This window comes from Homo sapiens, chromosome 1, assembly GCF_000001405.40.
Source record: "Homo sapiens chromosome 1, GRCh38.p14 Primary Assembly".
Taxonomy (NCBI): Eukaryota; Metazoa; Chordata; class Mammalia; order Primates; family Hominidae; genus Homo; species Homo sapiens.
Window position 1 is genome coordinate 19,828,299 of NC_000001.11, and position 20,864 is coordinate 19,849,162.

Here is a 20,864-nt window from a genome sequence, read left to right on the forward strand (position 1 = left end):
TATATACGGAACCATACAGTATTTAACTTTTTGTGACTGGCTTATTCATTTAGCGTAATATCCTCAAGTTTCATCCATGTTGCGGCATATTGCAGAATTTTCTTCCTTTTTGAGGCTGAGTAACATTCCACTGTATGGATATACCACATTTTGCTTCTCTATTCATCTGATGGACACTTAGGTTGCCTCTCCATTTTAGCTATTATTAATAATGCTGTATGAACATGGGTGTACAAGTATCTCTGCAAGACCCGGCTTTCAATTCTTTTGAGTGTATACCCAGACATGGGATTGCTAGATCACATGGTAATTCTATTTCTTTTCTTTTCTTTCTTTCTTTTTTTTCTTTTTCTTTTTTTTTTTTTTTTAGATTCAGGGTCTTGCTCTGTCACCCAGGTTGGAGTGCAGTTGCACAATCATAGCTTACTGCAGTCTTAAACTCCTGGACTCAAGCAAGCAACCCTCCTCAGCCTCCCGAGTTGTTGAGATTACAGGTGTGAGTCACCATGCCCAGCAGTAATTCTATTCTTAATTTTTTTCAAAGAAAACTCCATACTGTTTTCCACAGCAGTTGTATCATTGTACATTACTACCAACGGTTCCCAAAGGTCTAATTTGTCTATATCCTCACTAACAAGCTGTTTTCAGTTTTTTTTTTTTTTTGATAGCCACCATCCTAATGGGTGTGAGGTGGTATCTCACTGTAGTTTTGATTTACATTTCCTTAATGATTGGTGCTTAATGATTCATTGCCTCCTGACCACCCTCCCCACCCCACCCATCAACCTTGGCAACCTCTGATCTTTTTACCATAATCATAGTTTTGCCTTTTCCAAAATGTAATAAAGTTGGAATCACACACCCTGCAACCTTTTCAGTCTGACTTCCTTCACTTGGTAATATACATTTTAGGTTTCTCCATGTCTTTTCGTGGCTTGATAGTGCATTCCTTTTTAGCACTGAATAATATTTCATTGTCTGGATGTACCACAGTTTGTTTATCCATTCACCTACTAAAGGACATCTTGGTTGCTACCAACTTTTGGCAATTATGAATAAAGCTGCAAAAAACATCTGTGTGCAGGTTTTTGTGTGGACATAAGTTTTCAACTCCTTTGAATAAATACTAAGCAACATGGTTTCTGGATCATGTAGTAAGAGTATGTTTAGTTTTGTAAGAAACTGCCAAACCATCTTCCAAAGTGTTTGTATCATTTTGCCTTCCTACCAGCCATGAGTGAGAGTTCCTGTTGCTTCACATCCTTGTCAGCTTTTGGTGTTGTGAGTGTTTCAGATTTTGGCCATTCTAATAGATGCGTAGTAATATCGCATGTTTTAATTTGTGTTTCCCTGATGCCATGTGGTATGGGGTATCTTTTTGTATGCTTATTTGCCATCTGTATATCTTCTTTGGTGAGGTATCTGTTAAAGTCTTTGGCCCTTATTTATTTACTTATTTATTTAATTTTTGAGATGGAGTCTTGCTCTGTTGCCCAGGCTGGGGTGTGGTGGTGCGATCTTGGCTCACTGCAACCTCCGCCTCCCTGGGTTCAAGCTACTCTCCTGCCTCAGCCTCCCGAGTAACTGGGATTACAGGTGTATGCCACCATGCCTGGCTAATTTTTTGTGTTTTTAGTAGAGACAGGGTTTCACCATGTTGGCCAGGCTGGTCTTGAACTCCTGACCTCAAGTGATCCACACATCTCGGCCTCCCAAAGTGCTGGGATTACAGGCATGAGCCACTGCACCCAGCCATTTGGCCCATTTTAAAATCAGGCTGTTTGTTTTCTTATTGGTGAGTTTTAAGGATTCTTTATATATTTTGGATAACAGTCCTCTGTCAGCTATGTCTTTGGTTTTTCTTCCCCCAGTCCATGTTTGTCTTCTCATTCTCTTGACAATGTCTTCCATAGAGCAGATTTTAAAAAATTTTTGTTTGTTTGTTTGTTTTTGTTTTTTGAGATGGAGTCTCACTTTGTTGCCCAGGCTGGAGTGCAGTGGCGCGATCTTGGCTCACTGCAACCTCTGCCTCTTCGGTTCAAGTGATTCTCCTGCCTCAGCCTCCCTAGTAGCTGGAATTACAGGTGTGTGCCACCACACCTGGCTAATTTTTGTATTTTTAGTAGAGACGGGGTTTCACCATGTTGGCCAGGCTGGTCTTGAACCCCTGACCTCAGGTAATCCACCCACCTCAGCCTCCCAAAGTGCTGGAATTACAGGCGTGAGCCACCACGCCCTGCCTTTTTTTTTTTTTTTAATTTTAAGGATGTCCAGCTTATCATTATTTGTTTCACTGATTGTGACTCTGTTCTATCTAAAAAGCCATCATCATACCCAAGGTTATTTAGGTTTTCTCCTATATTATTTTCTAGGAGTTTTATAGTTATTCTATTTTGAGTCAGTTTTTGTGATAGATAATAAGGTCTGTGTCTAGATTCATTTCAACCTTCCCCTTTTCAGTTGATGACAAGTCCATTCTTCAAGTTGCTCAGGTGAAAAACCTTGGAGTTGTTTTTGATTCTTCTCTTTCTTTCACACTCTATAGCCAATTGGTCAGAAATCTAATTGGCTCTATCTTCAGTATATATCCTGAATCTAATTACTTCTCACCATTGCCACTGCTACCACCCTTGTCGAAGCCACCATCATCTCACTCCTGGATTATTGGTGATAGCCCCCTGATAGGCCCTCCTGCTACCACCCTTGTCCCCCTACATATTCTCAACTCACCAGATATTAAACAGCAACGATTTAAAAATGGAAGTAAAGACGTTTGAAAATTCTCTCCTCCATAAAAGCAAGAATAAAATAGGCAAAAATATGTCAGAATCAACTCTTCAGAACTTTGGAAATTAACCAAAGGCTTGCAGCAATATGGGGAGTGTTTATTCAAGAAAAATAGCTGAATCTTAATGATAAAAGCAAGCTCTATGGTATTTTAACTTGCACTATTTTCATTACCCTCTCTCTAATGCTGGGGTAGTCATGAAAACCAGCAGCCCACAATGATGGTAAAAACCAGCAGCCAGACAGCCACAAGAAGGGGAAGCTGGGGTTGGAGCTTCTTCAAAATGCCATTCTCAGAGAATTGTCATTATGTGATTTGTGCGGTGGTTCACTGGAAGACCCTCTTTGCAACACTCTCTTTATTTGTCTTGACTTGGAGCTCACCCAATGTTTAAAGCCTTCTTCCCAGAGGTGTTCGGCAGAAACATTTAGAAGAAATTATTTAACTTTGTGGTTGCCTGAAATAGTGGGTAACTGTTGGTGTGAACAATAGGCTATTTGAAATGCTTGAAAGGAAAAAAAAATACAGGAAATGAGGTATTCACAGGGGCTATGAAAAACTCTGACATATACCTGAGAACCTAGAAAACCACATGCATGCACGCAGCTGTGAGTATGCCAAGGGCTATGCATGTACTCAGGAAAAACGTAGGAAGACCCTATGCTCTTAACTCTGTTTGGCCTTGAGGATCTGCACAAGTAGGAAGTGAAGACTAAGGCAGAGTTTTCAGCTATCTGGCTGAATGTTGAAAGAATGCCCCAGCACACACACACAGAGCCCCTTGACAAAGATTGGAGAACTTATAAGTTCTTGGTGATTAAGAAAATCTCTGTCCAATGACTGACAGATCGCTAAGCTTACCAAGGAAAGGCTTTAGTGACTATACACAACAAAGAATAAGGCTTTACAGAATTAGTTCAGAAAAGTCATGAAATAGGCAACAACTGCAATAACAACAGACAGCACCACCAACAAACCCTCAGGAGGGAGGAGAAATCTCATGCCCAGCATTGCCACATTATATTGCTTAAAATGTCCAGTTTTAAACATAAATTTATGAGACATACAAAGAGACAATACAGTACGGCCCATACACAGGAAAAAGGCAATCACTAGAATTCTTCCCTGAGGAAAACCCCAGATGCTGAACTTAATAGACAAAGATTTTAAATCAACTATTTAAAATATGTTCAAAGAACTAAAGGAAAACAAGTCTAAAGAAATAAAGGAAAGTATGGGCCAGGCGCGGGGGCTCACGCCTGTAATCCCTGCACTTTGGGAGGCCAAGGCAGGCGGATCATGAGGTCAGGAGATCAAGACCATCCTGGCTAACACGGTGAAACTCCATCTCTCCAAAAAAAATACAAAAAAATTAGCCGGGTGTGGTGGCAGGTGCCTGTAGTCCCAGCTACTCAGGAGGCTGAGGCAGGAGAATGGCATGAATCCGGGACGTGGAGCTTGCAGTGAGCCGAGATCGTGCCACTGCACTCCAGCCTGGGTGACACAGCAAGACTCTGTCTCAAAAAAAAAGAAATAAAGGAAAGTATGAGAACAATGTCTCACCAAGTAGAGATTATTAATATAAAGATAGAAATAATAAGAGAAGGAACCAAATAGATATCCCAGTGTTGAAAAGTATAATAACTGAAGTTAAAAATCAATGAGGGATGCTCAACAGCAGATTTGAGCAGGTGGAAGAAAGAATTAGTGACCCTGATGATAGTTCAATTGAGATTATCCATTTGGAGGAACAGAAAGAAAAAAATGAAGAAAAATGAACAGAGCATCAGAGAGCTATGAGACACTATCACATGTACCAATATATGAATAACGAGGGTCCAAGTAGGAGAAAAAAAGAGCAGATAAAATATTTGAAGAAAAATGACTGAAAACTTCCCAAATTTGATGAAAAACTAGAATCTACATATCTAAGAAGTTCAATCAACTCCAAGAAGGAGAAACTCAAGGAGTTCCACATCTACACACATCGTAATCAAACTTTTAAAAGACAAGAAGAAAAATATTGAAAGCAGCAAGAGATAAGCTACTCATCATATACAATGGATCTTCAACAAATTTAACAGCTGATATCTCATCCAAAATCATGGAGGTTTGAAGGTAATGTACAGAACATTTAAAGTACAAGGAGAAAAAAGACTTGTCAACCAATAACTCTGTATCTAGCACAACTATCATTCAAAATTGAAGGTGAAATTAAATCACTCTCAGCCAGGCATGGTGGCTCATGCCTGTAATCCTAGCACTTTGGGAGGCCAAGGCGGGTGTATCACCTGAGGTCAGGAGTTCAAGACCAGCCTGGCCAACATGGTGAAACCCCGTCTCTACTAAAATACTAAAATTAGCTGGCTGTGGTGGCAGGTGCCTATAGTCTCAACTACTCAGGAGGCTGAGGCAGGAGAATCACTTGAACCCAGGAGGCAGAGGTTGCAATGAGCCAAGATCACACTGGTGCACTCCAGCCTGGGCGACACAGCGAGACTCAGTCTCAAAAAAAAAAAAAAAAAAGAGAAAGAAAAAACGGTCAGGTGTGGTGGCTCATGCCTATAATCTCAGCACTTTGGGAGGCCAAGGCGGGCGGATCACATGAGGTTGGGAGTTTGAGACCAGCCTGACCCACATGGAGAAACCCCGTCTCTACTAAAAATACAAAATTAGCCGGGAGTGGTAGTTCATGCCTGTAATCCCAGCTACTCAAGAGGCTGAGGCAGGAGAACTGCTTGAACCTGGAAGGTTGAGGTTGCGGTGAGCCTAGATTAAGCCATTGCACTCCAGTCTGGGCAACAAGAGCAAAACTCTGTCTCAAAAAAAGAAAGAAAGAAAAAAGAAATTAAGGCACTTTCAGATAAACAAACAAAAACTCAGAGAATTCATCACTTATAGACTTGCCTTATGAAGATACTAAAGGGAATCCTTCAAGCTAAAATGAAAGTACACTAGACACTAAACACTAGACACTGTCTAGTAACCTAGATCTACATGAAGAAATAAAGAGCACTAGTAAAAATAGTAACATACGTAAATATAAAAAACAATATAATTGTATTTTGTGTTTGTAACCCTTTTTTCTCCTGAGCTAAAAGACAACCTCATAAAAATAATTATAAATATGTGTTGATAGGCATAAAATGAATACAGATATAATTTATATGGCAATAACAGCAGAAAGGGGAGGGGATGAAATGGAGTTATATGGAGAAAAGTTTTTGTATACTATTGAAATTAAGTTAGAATTCATCTTACCTACATAATGATAAATTGAAATGTTAAATGTAATCCTCAGGACAACCACTAAGAAAATAACTAAAAATTGGCTGGGCGCAGTGGCTCATCCCTGTAATACCAGCACTTTGGGAGGCCAAGGTGGGCGGATCACAAGGTCAGAAGTTCAAGACCAGCCTGGCCAACATGGTGAAACCCCATCTCTACTAAAGATACAAAAAATTAGCCAGGCATGGTGGCGGGCACCTGTAATCCCAGCTACTCGGGGGGCTGAGGCAGGAGAATCTCTTGAACCTGTAAGGCAGAGGTTGCAGTGAGCCAAGATCGCGCCATTGCACTCCAGCCTGGGCAACAAGAGCAAAATTCCGTCTCAAAAAATTTAAAAAATAAATAAATCAAACACTAAAAATAAATGTAGTGCAAAAATGACAAGGGAATTAAAATAGAACACTAGAAAATATCTGTTTACGCTGGGCGTGGTGGCTCAGGCTTATAATCCCAGCACTTTGGGAGGCCAAGGCGGGTGGATCACCTGAGGTCAGGAGTTCGAGACCAGCTTGCCCAACATGGTGAAACCCCCGTCTCTACTAAAAATACAAAAATTAGCTGGGTGTGGTGGCAGGTGACTGCAATCCCAGCTACTCAGGAGGCTGAGGCAGGAGAATCGCTTGAACCTGGGTGGTGGAGGTCACAGTGAGCCAAGATCACGCCGCTGCACTCCAGCCTGGGCAACAGACTGAGACTCTGTCTCAAAACAAACAAACAAACAATCAAACAAAAAAAGAAAATATCTGGTTAACACAAAAGAAGACAGTAGTAGAGTAGAGGAACAGAAAAGACATGATGTATAAAAAACAAATAGAAAATGGCAGATGTAAAGCCTATGTTACTGGCAACTACAATAAATCTAAATTGATTACTCCAATTAAAAAGCAGAGATTGAAAGACTGGATAAAAATATGATTCAACTATATGCTATCTATAAGACATACAATTTAGATTCAAGATCACAAACAAGTTAAAAGTAAAAGGGTGGAAAAAACTATATACCATGAAATAGTAACTAAAGGAGAGTTGGAATGGCTACACTAACATCTAACCAAATAGACTTTAAGACAGCAATCATTACTAGAGACAAAGGACACTTTATAATGAGAAAAGAGTCAATCCATTAAGAAGATCTATCAATTATAAACATATGTGCTTTAACAACGGAGACCCCAAATATGTGAAGCAACAGCTGCCAGATTGAAGGGAGAAATAGACAATTCAAAAGTAATAGTTGAAGACTTCAAAGCCCCACTTTAAACAATGGATAGAATAATTAGAGGATCAACAAGGAAACAGATGACTTGAATAACACTACAAAGCAAATTAGACCAAACAGACATCTGTAGAAGTCTCCACCCAACAATTGCAGAATATAAATTCTTCTCAAGGGCACGTAAGACACATTCCAGAATAGACCACACATTAGGCCATAAGACAAGTCACCACTTTGAGAGGGCAAAGTGGGAGGACCACTTGAAGCCAGGAATTTGAGACCAGCCCAGGCAACATAGCGAGACCCTATCTACACAAAAATTTTAAAATAAATTTAGGCTGGGCGCAGTGGTTTATGCCTGTAATCCCAACACTTTGGGAGGCCGAGGCGGGTGGATCACCTGAGGTCAGGAGTTCCAGACCAGCCTGGCCAACATGGCGAAACCCCATCTCTACCAAAAATAAAAAATTAGCCAGGCGTGGTGGCAGGTGCCTGTAATCCCAGCTACTTGGGAGGCTGAGGCAGGAGAATTGCTTGAACCTGGGAGGCGGAGGTTGTAGTGAGCCAAGATCATGCCATTGCATTCCAGCCTGGGCAACAAGAGCGAGACTCCATCTCAAAAAAAAAAAAAAAAATTTTAGCCAGGTGTGGTGATGTGTACCTGTAATCCTAGACACTCAGGAGATTGGAACTGCTTAAGCCCAGGAGTTTGAGGCTGTAGTGAGCTATGATCATGCCACTGTATTCTAGCCTGTGTGGCAGGGCAAGATCCTGTCTCTAAATGACAAACAAACAAAAAACAAAGAAAAGAAAAGAAAAGAAAAGGCTGGGCACGGTGGCTCATGCCTGTAATCCCCGTACTTTGGGTGGCTGAGGCGGGTGGATCATGAGGTCAGGAGTTTGAGACCAGCCTGGCCAACATAGTGAAACCCTGTCTCTACTAAAAATACAAAAATTAGCGGACATGGTGACGCACACCTGTAGTCCCAGCTACTCGGGAGGCTGAGGCAGGAGAATTGCTTGAATCCAGGAGGCGGAGGTTGTGATGAGCCAAGATCACGCCACTGCACTCTGGCCTGGGCAACAGAGCAAGACTCTGTCTCAAAAAAAAAAAAAAAAGTCACAATAAGTGTAACAGGTTTGAAATAATAAGTTAAGTTCTCTGACCACAATGGAAGAAAATTAAAAATCAATAATAGAAGAAAATTTGGGACATTCACAAATATGTGGTAATTAAGCAATGAATTCTGAAATAGCCAATGAGTCAAAAAAGAAATCACAGAGGAAATTAGGAAATACCTTGATGAAAGAAAACAAAATCACAACACACTAAAACTAATGGTATGCAGCTGAAGCCGTTGATTAGAAGGACATTTACAGGTGTAAGTGTGTACATTAAACATGAAGAAAAATCTCAGGTCAATGACCTAAACTTCCCCTTCAAGAAAACAAAAGAGGAAGAGGAAGAAAGAAAAGGAGGAGGAGAAACTAAATCCAAAGAAAGCAGAAGGAAGGAAATCATAAAGATTATAGTAGAAATAAGTAAAATTGAGGCAATAAAATAATAGAGAAAAATTAATGAAATTAAAAGATGCTTCTTTGTAAACATCAACATAATTGACAAACCTTTGTCTAGACTGATCAAGAGAAAAAGAAAGAAGACCTAAATTACTAAAACAATGAATGAAAAAGAGAGCATGTCTACTGACCTTACAGAAATAAAAGTAATATGAGGGAATATTATGAACAATTGTATACCAACAAATTAGATAATCTAAATGAAACGGACAATCTCTTAGGAAGACACACATTACTAAACTGACTCAATAAGAAATAAAAAATCTGAATAGATCTATAACAAGTAAGGAGATTGAATTAATACCTTAAAATATTTCTTATAAAAAAAAATCCAGGAGCAGATGGCTTCACTGATGAATTCTATCAAATGTTTAAAGAAGAATTAACAATTCTTCACAAACTCTTCCAAAAAATAGAAGGGGAGGGAATAGTTCCCAACTCATATTTTGAGGCCAGTATTACCCTAATACCGAAACCAGACCAAGATATCACAAGAAAAACGAAACAAAATAGACCAATATTCCTGATGAATATAGATGCAAAATTCCTGAACAAAAAGCCAGCAAACCAAATCCAGCAATATATAAAAAGGATTATGCACCACAATCAGGTGGGGTGTATTCCAGGAATGCAAAGTTGGTTCAACATATCAAAATTCAATTAATGTGATACACTATTTTAATAGAAAAAGACAAAAAACTACATGATCATCTCAATAGCTACAGAGAAAGTAGCAAAATTCAACACACTTTCAAGATAAAAAACACTCAAGATGCTGGGCACAGTGGCATGTGCTTGTAGTACCAACTACTCAGGAGGCTGAGATGAGAGGATTGCTTGAGTCCAGGGGTTCAAGTTCAGCTTGGGCAACATATGGAGACGCTGCCTCGACAAAACAAAAACAAACACAAACAAACAAAACATTCAGGAAACTAGGGAACTAGAAAGGAACTTCCTAAATCTGATAAAGAGCACCTACCAAAAAAAAAAAAAAAAAAAAGCCAGAGCTAAGATCATAATAATGAAAGACTGAAAGTGTTCTCCCTAACATGAGGAACAAGACAAGCATATTCATTATTGCCCACTCCTTCCTCCTTTTTCCTTCCTTCCTTCCTTCCTTCCTTCCTTCCTTCTTTTCTTCCTTTCTTTCTTTTTCTTTCTTCTTTTTTTTTTTTCCACTCTGTCACCCAAGCTGGAGTGCAATGGCACGACCTTGGCTCATTGCAATCTCAACCTCCTGGGTTCAAGCGATTCTCCTGCCTCAGCCTCAGCCTCCCAAGCAGCTAGGATTACAGGCACCCACCACCATGCCCGGCTAATTTTTTTATTTTTAGTAGAGACAGGTTTTCGCCATGTTGGCCAGGCTGGTCTCGAACTCCTGACCTCAAGTGATCTGCCCGCCTCGGCCTCCCAAAGTGCTGGGATTACAGGAGTGAGCGACCGTGCCTAGCCACATTATTGCAATTTCTATTAACATTATTGTGGAAGTTCTAGACAGAGCAGTTAGGAAAAAGAAAAAAAGGAAGAAAGTAAGGAAGAAAGAGAGGAAAGAGGAAGGAAAGGAAAGGAGAGGAAAGGCAAGGAAAGTCATGTAGATTGAAAAGGAAGATGTAAAACTCTTTCTATTTGCATATTACATGATCTTTTATATAAAATATCCTAAGGAATACATTCCCAGACACTCCCACGTATATATTATTATAGCTAATAAATAGGTTCAGCAAGACTGAGGATACAAGATCAATATACGAAATCAATTCTATTTTTATACATTAGAAATTAACAACTCCAAAATGAAATTTAAAAAATTCCATTTGTAATAGCATCACAAAAATGAAATATGAATACATTTAGCAGAAGAAGTGCAAAATATATACTCTAAAAACTACAAAACATTGTTGAAGGAAATTAAAGAAAACCTAAATGAATGGAAAGATATCCTATGTTTATGGATTGTAAGATTTAATATTGTTAAAATATCCACACACCCCAAATTAATCTACCAATTTAATGCAATTCCTATGGAAAACCTAACTGGCTTTATTTTTGCAGAAATTGACAAGTTAATCTTAAAATTTATATGGAAATTCAAGGGATCCAGAATAGGAAAAAACAATTTCGAAAAAGAAGAATAAAATAGGAGAACTCACACTTCCCAATTTCAAAACTTACCACAAGGAGCTGTAGTAGTCAAGACCATGAGGCACTGGTATAAGAATAGATGTATAGATTAACTGAATAGAGTTGGAAGCCCAGAAATAAACTCATACATTTGTCAATTGATTTTCAACAGTGATGCTAACACAATTCAATGAGGGAAAGAATAGTCTTTTCAACAAATGGTGCTGGAATAGCTGGATATCCACATTTAGAAGAAAGAAGTTGGACATAATTTAACAAAATTAGCTCAAAATGGACCAAAGACCTAAATGTAAGAGCTAAAAGTGTAACATTCTTAGAAGAAAACATAGGTGCAAATCTTTATGACCTTGGAATAATCAGTGGCTACTTAGATGTCACACACAAAGCACAAGCAACTGAAAAAAAAATGACTTCATCAAGATTAAAAATGTTTTTGGGCGCAGTGGCTAACACCTATAATCCTAGCACTTTGGGAGGCCAAGGTGGATGGATCGCATGAGCTCAGGAGTTTGAGACCAGCTGGGGCAACATAGTGAAACCCTGTCTCTACCACAAGAAACACAAAAAATTATCCGGGCATGGTGGCGTGTGCCTGTGGTCCCAGCTACTCGAGGCTAAGGTGGGAGGATAGCTTGCTCCTGGGAGGCAAAGGCTGCAGTGAGCCGTGACCACACCATTCCCTTCCAACCTGAATGACAGAGTGAGACTTTGTCTCAAAAATAAATAAATTAAAAAAAAAGTTTATGCTCCAAAGGCACGATCACAAAAGTGAAAAAAAAAACCCACAGAATGAAAGAAAATATTTGCAAATTCTATAACTGAAAGAGTCTAGTATCCAGAATATATAATAAACTCTTACAATTTAACAGTAAAATACAAATAGCTCAATTTAAAAATGGGCAAAGAATTTGAACAGACATTTCTCCCAAGAAGATATGTAAAGGACCAATAAGCAGGTGAAAAGATGCAAACCCAAACCACAATGAGATATCATTTCCCACCCACCAGAATAACTATCATCAGAAAGACAGACAATAACAGGTGTTGGGGGAAATGTGGAGAAATTGGAACCCTCATATCATGCATTATTGGTGAGAAAGCAAAATTATTCAGCCACATGATTTGGAAAACATTTTGTCATCTCCTCAAAAAGCTAAAAATGGAATTCTCATATGACTCAGCAATTCCATTCCTAGGTATATACTCAAGAGAATTGAAAACATGTTCATATAAAAACTCATACATGAATGCTCATAGTATCATTATTCATAATAGCTGGAAAGTGGGAACAACCCAAATGTCTATCAACTGATGAATGGATAAACAAAATGTCATCTATCAATACAATGGAATATTATTCAGCTATAAAATGAATGAAGTATGGACACGGGCTACAACATGGATAAACCTTGAAAACATTATACTAACTAGCAGAAGGCAGACACAAAAGACCCACATATATGATCCCATTTATAGTGTCCAGAACAGGCAAATACATAGAGTCAGGAAGTAGATCAGTGGTTCCTGGGGGATTAGCGAATTAGGCTGGAGAGATGTGGGGAGTTATTGCTAATGGGTTTGGGGTTTCTTTTTGGGGTGATGGAAATATTCTGGAATTAGATAGTGATGATGGTTGTACAATCTTGCAAATATACTAAAAAACACCATACGGTATACTTTAAACAGGCGACTTTTATGGTATGTGAATTATGTCTTAATTTTAAAATGGGCCTAATTCTTCACTACTGGAGAAGGAAGAGACAAGTATGGAAAGGGAGAAATCGCTAAGAAACTGGTTCTGAATTGAAATTGGAGATTTGTGCGTGAACTTGTGGCTTTCAATAGACATAGATGGATACATATGGAAATAAAGATAGATTTAAATGTGTGCATGCAAATGTGTGTGTACATTCCTTATCACTGTCCACGGGGGCCTGGGAACAGTGACATCAGAAATGAGCATAGAACTTGGTTTCTAAGTTCCATTCTTGGTTGGGCGCGGTGGCTCATGCCTATAATCCCAGCAATTTGGCAGGCCAAGGCAGGCGGATCACTTGAGGCCAGGAGTTTGAGACCAGCCTGGCCAACATGGCAAAACCTCATTTCTACTACAAATACAAAAAATTAGCCGGGCATGGTGGCGCTCGCCTGTGGTCCCAGCTACTTGCAAGGCTGAGCCAGAAGAATCGCTTGAACCCAGGAGATGGAGGCTGCAGTGAGCCGAGATCGCACCACTGCATTTGAGCCTAGGTGACAGAGTGAGACTCCGTCTCAATAAACAAATAAATAAATAAATAAATAAATAAATTCCATTCTCTACCAAGGATTCTAATAAGGAGTCCAAGGAACCAGGACAACTCAGAAAAATGACTGATTCCAAGGCTAGAGTGGAGACAGTGCATGATGAATCTGAAACATGCTAGAAAGTAAGGAAGTACTCAAAGAATTCCGTCCCACTGTTCAAATCAGAGACAATTTGGTATCAAAATAAGTAATGATAATAATGGATTCAAACTAATGGAATAAAGTAGAAAACCATGAGTCTATACACATGTAAGTCAATAAAATAATACATTGAAAATGTCAGGAGGGGCCAGGCGTGGTGGCTCATGCCTGTAATCCCAGCACTTTGGGAGGCTGAGGCGGTGGATCACCTGAGGTCAGGAGTTTGAGACCAGCCTGACCAACATGGCGAAACCCTGTCTCTACTAAAATACAAAATTAGCCGGGCATGGTGGTGCATGCCTGTAATCCCAGCTACTCAGGAGGCCGAGGCAGGAGAATCACTTGAACCTGGGAGACAGAGGTTGCAGTGAGCCAAGACTGTGCCACTGCACTCCATTCTGGGCAACAAGAGTGAAGCTCCGTCTTAAAAAAAAATTTTTAAATGTCAGGAGGAATAGGGTATTTACGCAGTTTCAAAGTACTTCTCTGCACAATACTTACTAATTACAAAAGAAAAAAAATAACATCATAGTGGAAAAGTCAGGCAGATAGAAACTTAATAATAATGAACATCATAAATAATGGGATGGATCTAAACACTACTCTACCTAGGCCAGGCACAGTGGCTCACGCTTGTAATCCCAGCACTTTGGGAGGGCGAGGCAGGCAGATCAAGACCACCCTGGCCAACACAGTGAAACCCCGTCTCTACTAAAAATACAAAAATTAGCTGGGTGTGGTGGTGGGCACCTGTAATCCCAGCTACTCGGGAGGCTGAGGCAGGAGAATCGCTTGAACCCAGGCGGCAGAGGTTGCAGTGAGCCGAGATCGCACCACTGCACGCCAGCTTGGGCGACAGAGCTAGACTCCACCTCAAAAAAAAAAAAAAATTACTTCTTCTAAGAGGATGCAAGGAGAAGAACTCAACCTTGCTTCTGTGGCATTCCTGCCAATGATGCAAAACCTCAATAAAATCATAAGGAAACATCGGTCAAACCCAAATTGAGGTACTTTCTATAAATTAACTGACATGCCATCTTCAAAAATGTCATGTCCATGCAAGTCAAGGACAAACTGAGGAACTGCTCCAGGTTTAAGGGGAGTCTAGAGAGACTTTACCGCGAAACACAACGTGAGATGCTGAACTGGATTTTTTTTTACTATCAAGGACATTGTTGGGACAGTTGGTGAAACTTGCATGAGGCCTCTGGATTAGATGTTTTTCATGTTAATTTCCTGATTTTTCAGGGTTCCTTGTGGTTGTAAGGAATTGTGGAATATCTGTGTTTGTAGGAACTACATACTCTAGTATTTGGGAGATGTATCAGGCTGGTAACTTATTCTCAAATGGTTCAGGGAAGAAAGTTATGTGTGTTAGTAGTGCACTGAAGTCGGTTATGCTCAACGTCTTTCCAACTCTGCGTGCAGTAACCTCATGTTGGCAGCATGAAATTGCCTGTAGTGGGAGTATTTACACCATGGAAATTGGCAAATGTTACAACTCCAGTCTTTTTTTCCCTCTGGACAGCCAATTGTTAAACATTCACCAGCACACTGTTCTTTGTACCATCTTTCCAGATTTTTAATAAATTTGTGATTGTTTCAAAAAATTATTAACTTGGCCAAGCATGGTGGTTCATGCCTGTAATCCTAGCACTTTGGGAGGCCAAGGCAGGAGGACTGATTGAGGCCAGGAGATCAAGACCAGCTTGGGCAACATAGTGAGACCCTGTCTCTGTTAAAAATATATTAAACTAAAAAAATAGAAGGAAGTTAATAAGTACCACTTTAAACCTTCTTTTGAACAAGGCTTACAATAAATGCATAACAGGCATTTGTGTTTTAACCTATCTCTATGCTTTCAGTTAATATTCTTTTTTTTTTTTTGAGATGGAGTCTTGCTTTATCGCCCAGGCTGGAGCACAGTGGCACAACCTTGGCTCACGCCAACCTCTGCCTCACAGGTTCAAGCCATTCTTCTGCTTCAGCCTCTTGAGTAGCTGGGATTACAGGCACGTGCCACCATGCCTGGCTAATTTTTTGTATTTTTAGTAGAGACAGGGTTTCACCGTGTTGGCCAGCCTGGTCTCCAACTCCTGACCTCAAGTGATACGCCCACCTCGGAGTCCCAAAGTGCTGCGATTACAGGGGTGAGCTACTGCGCCCAGCCCTATTCTTGATAATCCTGTGAAGTCAAAATTATCACACCCCTTGTAGAGACAAGTAAATGGAGACTTGGATAAATTTCCTGGCATATTCCTTGGCATGTAATAGTTGCTCAATAAATGATGGCTGACCATCTCCAAGTGGAAAAGGTAAATCGCATACCCAGAATTTATGACTCTAAACCTCATGTACTTGCTTTTTTAAGATAAACTTTTAAACATTAGTTTTAATCACACAAGTACTGCATGAATATATATTCAATCATAAAATGTAACTCAGTAGGCCAGGTGCAGTGGCTCACGCCTGTAATCCCAGCACTCTGGGAGGCTGAGGCGGGTAGATCATGAGGTCAGGAATTCAAGACCAGCCTGGCCAAGATGATGAAACCCTGTCTCTACTAAAAATTAGCCAGGCATGGTGGCCGGCACCGGTAATCCCAGCTACTCGGGAGGCTGAGGCAGAGAATTGCTTGAACCCGGGAGGCGAAGGTTGCAGTGAGCTGAGATTACTGCACTCCAGCCTGGGTGACAGAGCAAGACTCTGTCTCAACAATAAATAAATAAGTAAATTTAACACAATAGGCCAGGTGCAGTGGCTCATGACTATAATCTCAGCACTTTGAGAGGTTTGAGCTCAAGAGTTTGAGACCAGCCTGGGCAACATGGTGAGACCCTGTCTGTCTTAAAAAAAAAAAATAAATAAATAAAATAAATGCACTGAAGAGAAGCCTAACTTATCCTTTATCACATGTACCCACTTCTCCAACGGCCCAGTCTCAGTCCCCTCTACATGAGCAGTCTTCCTTATCAGTCCAGTGTTCTCCTCCAGGCCTTTTTCTACGCATTTTTGTTTTGCTCTGAACCACACTGATGGCAAGTTCATGGCCAGCTTTGATGATCTGGAGCATTAGCATTTTCCCTGGGAATGAGCTCCACCACCTTCTCCCTTTCTTCTATTCTCAGATTGTTGACCTTGATTTTTCTTCCCTCTTTCATAAAAAACACACAAAGGCATTTCACTGGCAATCGAACCACCCTCTTCTGCACAGAGGCCTCGGGAGATTTATTTCCATCCCAGAGTAAAGTCCTAGGCTGTAGTCTTGGCTCCAGCCTCGGCCCCGTGTTACAGAAAAAAACAAAACAAAACAAAACAAAACAAAACAAAACAAAACAAAACAAAAAACACAGTTGTTCAGTTTTTCCTCGACAGTGACCTCCTACTCTAAAATAAACAACCATGACTGAAAGGGGAGGAAAGAAAGACACAATGTTTTCCAAATGTGATACAGAATTCAAGGGTGAGAGGATGAGAGGGTGAGGGAGTGAGGGGTGGAGCTTGGAATATTTTCCTTTCTTTGTTAATCGTCTGTGGGGACTGTCTTTACTCTATAAAGTCAGCATTACCCATTCATCTCCAAGACATTTGTTTCCTGAAACAGCTGAGTCGGCAACGGAGAGACCTTCCTCCAGTGAGTGCTGAGACCTAGGTCAGAGCTCATGGTTGGTAGTATCGGCTTTCTGCCAAAAAACATGATTTGCTTGAAAAACGAATGGATCTCTTATTTGTAGTAAGAACACAGAACTAAAATAGGCTGGGTGCTGTGGCTCATGCCTGTAATCCTAGCAGTTTGGGAGGCCGAGACAGGCGAATCGCCTGGGGTCAGGAGACCAAGACCAGCCTGGCCAACATGGTGAAACTCTGTCTCTACTAAAAATACAAAAATCAGCCGGGCGTGGTAGCACATGCCCATAGTCCCAGCTACATGAGAGGCTGAGGCAGGAGAATCACTTGAACCCAGGAGGAGGTGGTTGCTGTGAGCTGAGATTGCGTCACTGCACCCCAGCCTGGGTGAAAGAGCAAGACTCCATCTCCAAAAAAAAAAAATCAAGTAGAACTCAATCTAAACTAACCTTAAATTATACTTTGTTTAAGGAGTGTGAAGAACCTACTACTTATTGAATGCTCTACAATGAGCATACTACTTGTATATTTTACTGAGATATTAAATTGTATTTTTATTCTCGTAATGGCGGTCTCCCCTCCTTCATCCTAAGCAGGTAGCCAGAAGCAGGAGTTTCTAGGACCCCTCAAATCAGAGCCCTCCCCTACCCATGCCTAGGAGCTGGGTTCCCCTCGGTGGCCAGAGTGGGATTGTATGAGAGGGAGCAGGGCTTCAAGGGTTGGAAAAGATGGAACAAGCTGATAAAATCCCTTAGTAGAGAAGGGGGAGAGGAGAAATTTGGGAAAGCTCTCCAGAAAATAGGAAACGTAGAACAGAGAGAAAAGTGGAGCTAGCAGGACCTCTGATGGGGATGATTGTGGGCTGAGCTGAGGGAATTCTGATCCCAGGCACAGAGATCTCTGGCCTGGGCAAAGACTTCCTGTGCTCCAGTTTGGCTCCAAGGCAGCATAAATACCACCTTCAAGGTAGGCTGGGACAATGGTCCAGTGCGGGCTGCTGATGGGAGGGTCTCAGCACAGGCTTCGGAGGACTTTTGCACAACCCTAGAGAAAGTAGTGCCTCCCAAAATGTGACTGAGTTGGGATTTTCCAACAACCAGGGAGGTGGGGCTCATTAGCTGTTACAGAGAATGAGCATTTTCTTATACCTGATGGTGAAGGAATTCAATACACACCCATTATATAAACACCAACTTTGATCCACATAATACTTTTTATGCAACTTTTACTTTCAAATTTTATTTGTATGGGTGTATTCCATTTAATACTTTACAAGAGTCCAATAAAGCCCTTTCACATATAAAACCTCATTTTATCCTCACATCATGCTTTGACAGTGAATACGGTTCATATTGTCTGATTTGCTGAAGCTCAGAGAGAAAGCTGAACCATGAATGGGTCTTTCGTGCCTCTTTCCTGTGTCGTGGGAGCCCTTGGTTGGGCCCCACGTTATCCCATTCAACCCCAAGGTTGGCTACCAGCACTTCTGGCCTTAACCTTTGCCAAAATTTTGACTCTGTAACTCCCATTCCTTTGATCTGCCTTGCCCTGTGCATACGAGGGAAACCTGTGTCTGTTCTCCATGAATACTCCATGCTTGGGTATGATCCTGGTCAATTATAATCTTCTCAATATGAGGACACTCCTTTCTTTGTTTCAACTTGTTCAGATTAAAAAACATAGAATGAGCATCTCCCATGTGTCAGGTATGTGCAAGGCATTCTCATACAGTCCCTCATTACTCTTATGTAAGAGGTATAACTGTGCCTGGTTTTTAGATGTGGAACCTAAGGTTCAGGAAGGTTAAGGAATGCGCCCAACATCACCCAGCTAGGAAGCGGGAGTACAGGGATTCACACCTTCCTTCTCTGAGTCCAAGTCTCTGCTCTGTGCCTAACTCCACTGGGTTGCCTTACACAGTTTCCAGGTTCTCCATTCATTCCAAGTAGAAAATAAGGTCAATGTTAAAAGAAAAGCTATGCTTCATTTCTCTGAATCCCAAGTTGCATGTTGCTATCTGCCGTGACTTAAAGTCACTCCAGGAGTAAGAACTCAGTTTTGACTGTTATCTTAGATACGTTATTAAAACAGCAGCCCTAGGGTTACCAGAAAGGGGTCCGGATCCAGACCCCAAGAGAGGGTTCTTGGATCTTGCGCAAGAAAGAATTCAGGGCGAGTCCGCAGTGGAAAACGAAAGCAAGATTATTAATAAAGTAAAGGAATAAAAGAATGGCTACTCCATAGACAGAGCAGCCCCGAGGGCGGCTGGTTGCCCATTTTTATGGGTTTTTTTTGATGATATACTAAACAAGGGGTGGATTATTCATGCCTCCTCTTTTTAGACTACATAGGGTAACTTCCTGACGTTACCTGGAGTGCCACTGCACTCCAGCCTGGGTGACTGAGTGAGACCCTGTCTTAAATAAATAAAATAAAATAAAAGTTAAAGAAATAGTTTGACCTTAAAGCATTTAGCAAATCTGATGTTTGACCTTAATTTAGACTAAATGTTTATATTTTAAAGACATTTTATTTTACCAGTAATTTTTAAAACTGTCTTTATTTTTAAGATTACTAAAGTCATGTGAACAAAAAGGCATTAAAGTTTCTATTTTTGACAAAATATTTGATTTAAGTGCTTATTTTTTTAACCCAATTAATTAGAGCTTTTTATATATAAACATACAACACATATAAATACACAGACAGACAGAAGATTCAGCACTTGTAAGATTTTTCATTTGCCAGTTTCTTAATTGGATGACTGGCTTCAGGGTGGAGCCCTTGGAAGAACAAGGCTGGGAAAGCTTGGTTTCTAGGGCCAAATAAGCAGCTGAAGGCAAAGACAGAGTCTTAAAATTAAGGATGCCATTTTACACTGGATCCTGGATCCCCAGAAGGAGGGAAATACTGTGGGAGAAGACAGTGCAGTCCTTCTTCTTTGCATTGCACTGCAAGGTAACCCAAAGCCAATTAGCCCATTTTGTAATCAGCCCATCCCTCGTGGGAGTTTTATCTCCCATTGGAGTTGGGAATGTTTCCTTATCTTCCAGGTGGCTAAGAGCATGCTTCTCTGATTTAAGTGTGCAGAGTCAAGTCTCCCTCCGTAACTACTATTAACCATCCCTTAAAGTATATTTCCTATCTGGTTATTATATACCAAAGCTCTTTTATAATGCAAAGTAAATTTTGATTCCCTCAGAACTCAAAACTGTCAGATAACACAATGCAAAACGTAACAGAGCCTTTGATTTTGAGAGGGATCTATCTGCTTTTAATTCCTGGGGTTTCATGAGGAAAACAGAGGCTTTTTTTCCAAAACGGGGTCTGTGGTGCCTCCTCTGTGTTTCCCAAGGAGTCCCAGCTACCAGAAGTTATTTTAAGGCCTTTCATGTGTGCATTAAGAGTGGCAAGAAGGCCGTGTGCAGTGGCTCATGCCTGTAATCCCAGCACTTTGGGAGGCCGAGGCAGGCGGATCACTTGAGGTCGGGAGTTCGAGACCAGCCTGACCAACATAGAGAAACTCCATCTCTACTAAAAATACAAAATTAGCCAGGCGTGGTGGCACATGCTTGTAATCCAAGCTACTCAGGAGGTTGAAGCAGGAGAATCTCTTGAACCCGGGAGGCAGAGCTCACGAAGAGCCGAGATCGTGCCATTGCACTCTAGCCTGGGCAAAAAGAGTGAAATTCTGTCTCAAAAAAAAAAAAGAAAAGTGGCAAGAAAAAAAATGGAGAAAAACGATTTAGTTGATTGAGAAGAAAAAACTTTTTTTCAGTA